At 47.0% G+C, this 5,609-nt stretch overlaps 1 protein-coding gene across 10 annotated transcripts in view, besides 1 other annotated feature; it reads right to left on the reverse strand.

Moving 5' to 3' along the window:
• The window catches only part of SMG6 (SMG6 nonsense mediated mRNA decay factor), a 243,947-nt gene that overhangs the window by 237,566 nt on the left and 772 nt on the right, over nt 1-5,609 (reverse strand). For all 10 annotated transcript variants that reach the window (XM_011523769.3, XM_047435696.1, XM_005256569.5 and 7 more), the window contains 2 exons: nt 1,502-3,260; nt 459-651 (listed from right to left, as the gene is read on the reverse strand). In XM_011523769.3, coding sequence (XP_011522071.1) covers nt 459-651; nt 1,502-3,255 — 1,947 coding nt within the window. In that variant the 5' untranslated portion in view covers nt 3,256-3,260. The remainder of the gene's footprint in view (nt 1-458; nt 652-1,501; nt 3,261-5,609) is intronic.
• Nucleotides 4,639-5,453: an enhancer, noted in NCBI's record as "H3K4me1 hESC enhancer chr17:2205337-2206151 (GRCh37/hg19 assembly coordinates)". NCBI's record gives its function as "activates a minimal SCP1, AML or CMV promoter by ChIP-STARR-seq in primed H9 embryonic stem cells {active_cell/tissue: H9 hESC(primed)}" and the evidence as "EXISTENCE:reporter gene assay evidence [ECO:0000049][PMID:30033119]".

The following is a 5,609-nucleotide window of genomic DNA, read 5'->3' on the forward strand; positions in this document are numbered from 1 at the left end:
ATCCACCAAAAACCGGGGCAGACAACCCTTTCACAGTTCTGCTGATGTTCAGACATCCTATGAAAAGGGAGGCACGCACAATATTCACTGGCCACCAATTTGAGAACAAGGCAAATTCACAGTCAAAGCCTCCATGGTTTTAAAGATATGAACACATGAACACACACACACACACACACACACGCTCTCTCCACACAAACACAAACACATACATACACATTCTCATTCTCTCTCTTTTAGGCCAAGGCATTCAGAAAGCTTTCAACCTCAAAACTCCAATTGCCAGTAATTTATGGTCCCAAGGAAGCAACTGGTGTAGGGAAGGCTCAGAACCCAAGAAAAGGGCAGTTTTTTTGTCGATATTCTGTTCTAAAACATAGTATTTCAGGTAGTAAAAATCCATCGTAACTACAGAATGCTGAAGCCTTTATCCTGAGGACAAAAAGATGACAGTTTACCTCATCCAAGAGCTCCAAAAGTCTGTTCCGAATCTGTTCTGGGTTCTCAACATTCGGATCCTTGACAAGTTGCCTGAACTTCTCAATCACCTGATAGAAAGCATTCTTCCACAGGATCTGATCCACATTCTGATTATCAGAGAACTCAATATCTAATAGAATACAGCGCTCATATAGCTGCAGCAGTTCAGCTCTGGAATAAAATACATGCAACTTCCAGCTCCAAATACACCACAGAAAAAGCTAGACTCAAGTTTTGAGATTCCTGCAAATTAACCACCTCCCCTGGCAGGAAATAAAAAATGTGACCAGGTAGGTATACTACTCACTCTGGTTTCCATTCTGCAGAGCAGAATGTCATTCTAAAGATAGTTGTGTCTAGGAAAATAGTTTTTCCCCATATGTCTTCACCTAAATTTAACAACTGAAATAAGATCTTCACTGCAAGTTACATGTTGTTCATTTCTTGGCATTCTAGAAAGTCTTTTTCCATTTCAAGATTCCATGATCCCTTAAAGATAATTTTTTCTTAAAGAAAAAGTAGGATGCATAATTATTTCTAAGACTAGAAATAGGGCCGGGCGCGGTGGCTCATGCCTGTAATCCCAGCACTTTGGGAGGCCGAGGCAGGCGGATCACGAGGTCAGGAGATCGAGATCATCCTGGCTAACATGGTGAAACTCCGTCTCTCTAAAAATACAAAAAATTAGCCGGGTGTGGTGGCAGGCGCCTGTAGTCCCAGCTACTTGGGAGGCTGAGGCAGGAGAATGGTATGAACCCAGGAGGCAGAGTTTGTAGTGAGCCAAGATCGTGCCACTGCACTCCAGCCTGGGCGACAGAGCGAGACTCCGTCTTAAAAAAAAAAAAAAAAAAGACTAGAAATAAAACTTCTGTTCTGTTTCCAACTGCCCTTCCCTTACAACGTGAAAAGGAAATAATACCCAGTGGCTCAGCTAAAAAGTTTCTACCTTCCTCAGCCATAGCAATCTATACACCTCCGGCTGATCCCCATTTCCCTCCAGCCAGAATAGACCACATCATACCTGAGTTGCGCCATCTTCTCCAGGCCCTCCGGACTGATGCGGTCCCTGGAGAGCAGGTTGCTGAGCTGCAGTTCCTGGTTGTCAGCCACCCGGAGAAGCCTGTGCAGCTCCTGTTGCTGCAGGTTCCTCATGTGCTGCTCTACCTCCTCGGGACTCATGGTGCTGGTAGGTAGAGGGCTACACACATACTGTCCTGACGGAGTCGGGTAGCCTGGGTAGTAAGGCCCTGGGTACACACCATTCGTAGGGCCCACTGGGTACTGTAGAGGGTTATAGCCCGTATAGGGATACTGGGAGGCAGGGCCTGGTGTCCGGGGGTAATAATAGGGGTTGTCAGAGTTTTGAAACTTATAGTAAGATGCCTGAGCCTGGCGTGAGTCACCCCAAGATGTAGGGCTGACTTCATCATCAGTGTCCAAGAAATGTAGCTGGGGCGTCTGAGTCTTTAGAGCAGGTTTCTGATCAGGATTGTTTGGGTCCCACAATCGGCGTGTGGTGCCTCCACGGCCCCAACTCCGAGATCCCTTACTACCAGATCCAAACAAAAGCCGAGGTCCCAAAGGCGCGGACTCTGGAGAACCTGCTGAATTGACAGATAGGGTGGTATGGGCAGGCAAAATCAGAATGCCACGACCACGACCCCGAAGTTCTTGTTTCGGGTTTTTGGACTCCTGCTTCTCAGAGCCTTTGCCCCCACTGCTCAAGCCTTTGTCAGGCTTTCCTCTATCCATATCATCCCTGGCTGACCTCACCATGGGAGACTCTTTGTTCATGGCTTCTGCATCGAAAGTGACACGAAGAGTGCCTCGATATTCTTTAGCACTGTTTTTCTGCTCACCCTCCCCACGGCCAGACCAGTTTCTTTCTAAATGTCTCTTCCTTTCTGAACTTCTCCTGGGTCCTAATCCATCAGGCTCATCAATTCTGTCCTCGTCTAAGGAATCGGTTGAGGACACAGACACTTGCTTCTTCAGTCGTGGCCTCTCCTTGGTCCTATCCTGTCGGCGGCGGCGACATCCATTATCCGTCAGGCCAGCTCCCTCAGCGCTGTTGTTGCTGCCAGCTGAGCTGGTGCTGCGCGTGCGGTAGCGATTCCTTCGTTTGTCTGAGCGGGAGTAGCGCTTTGCGGAGCCCGGCCTCCCGCGGGCTGGGTCGTCGTGGGTTTCCCTCACCCCCTCCCCTTTTCCCATCCTCTTTCCTTTTTCTCCTTTTGCAGCCCCTACTCTCCCACCACCTGGGCTCTTTTCTATCTCAGCCCTGTCTGGTTTATTCGCAACTTCCTCCTTCGCAACATTTCCCCTACACTCATCTTCCTCTACTCTCAGTTGTTCTACCTGGTTGAGGACTTCTTCCTCCTCCACCCGACTGGCGGATTCTTTGCTAACAGTCTGCAAACGTCGTCCAGGCTGATAGATCTGCAGGTCGGGTTTCTTTGTTCTTTTGATAATTTTTAGACTACGATCCTCTTGTCCAGCAGTCCTAGGAAAGGATTCTTGTCCCCGATTATTTTCTGGGTCTATAGGACCATTCTGCTCTTGGTTGTTCAGTTCCTTGCAGACATCTTTAACGGGCTGTGTACCATTTTCAACAGCAGAGCAATCTCGGTCATTAACAATTTCATCTTTGAATTCCTCACTCCCAGGGGGTTCCTTGATTTTGGGCTTGTTCCTTAGCCGAGAAAGGCCAGGCTTATAGATTTCCAGATCTGGACGCCTGTTATCTTTGCGCGGCCTGGCCTCCTTTAATTCCTTCATGTTTTCTGTTATGTCGGGGAAAGAGTTTGGGAGGGAAAGGTAGAAGATAAGAATAAAGAAGGAAGATAGGGGAAAGACTGTCATTCTGGTTAAGTAACAAAAAAAGTCGAGCAAGAATTACATATCCAAATGCTAATACTGGTAGGCAAAGAAGGACATTTCTGTAGAAGCAGAAATTCTGGGTTTACAACACTTGTTCAACAATTCACAAGGCTAAGGACCTAACTGTGTTGGGGCTACCTACACTTGGGTAAGTGAAATGGGGGAAACCCATCTCCTTATGTGTCATCCAAGTCATATTCAGAAATCCAAGATCCCAAACTACCTCATTATTGTCAGAACAAAAGACCTCTCTAACCTTTTCAGCACTACACTGTTCTCTATCTATAGAGCCTGTGAATCCACCTCAGCCTTTTCTTCCGCCTCTAACTTTTTCCTGGGTGGCTAAGTTCTTTTAACATAACAGCAGGAGGAAGAAGTAAAAAAGGAGAAAAAGGAGGGAGGGTATTATAACAATTATCAGTCCTGGACATCTCTGGAGAAAAAAAATGCAACTTTAGTCTTTAAACTTGACCAGGATGATTCTCTTCTTCAAGATACCAATTACCAAATAACATACCTGCTGGTGAATTAAACAGCAAGCAGTTCTTTTCCCATTCTTCAACTTCACCCATCCTCACCAACTCACTAACAGTAGCTCACAGAGTTACCAAAATACTGCTCAGACTATCATACTAGAATACTGACACTAACTGCTACTGTGATGATGGAATTATTAGAAAAAAGTTCCATAAGGGAACTTTCCCTGGATGCTGATGGAAAGATTGTGACATACTCTCAAAATGCCAACAACTGGGAACTCAAGAATTAAGAATAATACAGGACTTTAGAAACCACTCTCGGCCGGGCGCGGTGGGTCACGCCTGTAATCCCAGCACTTTGGGAGGCCGTGGTGGGTGGATCACGAGGTCAGGAGATCGAGACCATCCTGGCTAACACGGTGAAACCCCGTCTCAACAAAAAATACAAAAAATTAGCCGGGCGTGGTGGTGGGCGCCTGTAGTCCCAGCTACTCGGGAAGCTGAGGCAGGAGAATAGCGTGAACCCAGGAGGCGGAGCTTGCAGTACGCGGAGATCGCGCCAGTGCACTCCAGCCCAGCGGACAGATACTTACTTAAGTATCTGGTTTTTTAAAAAAGTATCTGTTACCGTTATCAAAAGTAACCACTAAACATTACAATGGAAAAGTGACAGAATTCGGGAGAATATTATCAAGTACACAAATGGAATGCTATATAAAATCCTAGCATAGGCCAGGTGCAGTAGCTCACGCCTATAATCCCAGCACTTTGGGAGGCTGAGGCGGGAGGACTGCTTGAGGCCAGGAGTTCGAGATCAGCCTGGGCAACATGGCAACACCCTGTCTCTATAACGTATACAAAAAATAGCCAGGTGTGGTGGTGCAGGTCTGTAATTCCAGCTACTCGGAAGGCTGAGGTGGGAGGATCACTTGAGCACAGGAGGGGGAGGCTACAGTGAGCTGAGATCCCTCCACTGCACTCCAGCCTGGAAGACAGAGTGAGACCCTGCCTCAAAAAAATTGGCCGGGCACGGTGGCTCACGCCTGTAATCCCAGCACTTTGGGAGGCCAAGGCGGGCGGATCACGAGGACAGGAGTCCAGACCATCCTGGCCAACACGGAGAAACCCCGTCACTACAAAAATACAAAAAATTAGCCAGGCGTGGTGGCACACGCCTACAGTCCAAGCTACTGGGGAGGCTGAGGTAGGAGAATGGCGTGAACCCGGGAGGCGGAGGTTGCAGTGAGCAGAGATCGCGCCACTGCACTCCAGCCTGGGCGACAGAGCTAGACTCCGTCTCAAAAAATAATAATAACAACAATAAAAAAGTTTTTAATCCTAGTATTGCTCTCTAAATATAAATGGAAACAAGCCCAAAACAGGAATCATATGCTCCAGCAAGTACATTTACTGTTTGTAGGTGTAAGGAAAAGGGGAAGAAAAGAGACTGAGGTTTTGGATAGTGCTTCACTATTTTCATAAGTTTAAAAGGTAGGTTCATGAAGTATCCACAAAGATAAAGCAGTTTAACCCAAGAATAGCTCACCCTCGGCAGTCTGTAACTTGGTGGGGGGCGGGGGGATGGGGAAAGCTATTCCTACTACTTTCTAGAGCAGCGGGAGAAAATAGCCTTAATAATCCAATTATGTTAATCAACAAAAACCAATTTCACAGACTGGCCGCAAACCTAGAGAAGGCACCTATCACAGCTACCATTCTACACAACTCTATTGCCTAACGCAGGAGAGGTGAGACACTTAGAATCTTTCTTAC

This window comes from Homo sapiens, chromosome 17, assembly GCF_000001405.40.
Source record: "Homo sapiens chromosome 17, GRCh38.p14 Primary Assembly".
NCBI lineage: Eukaryota > Metazoa > Chordata > Mammalia > Primates > Hominidae > Homo > Homo sapiens.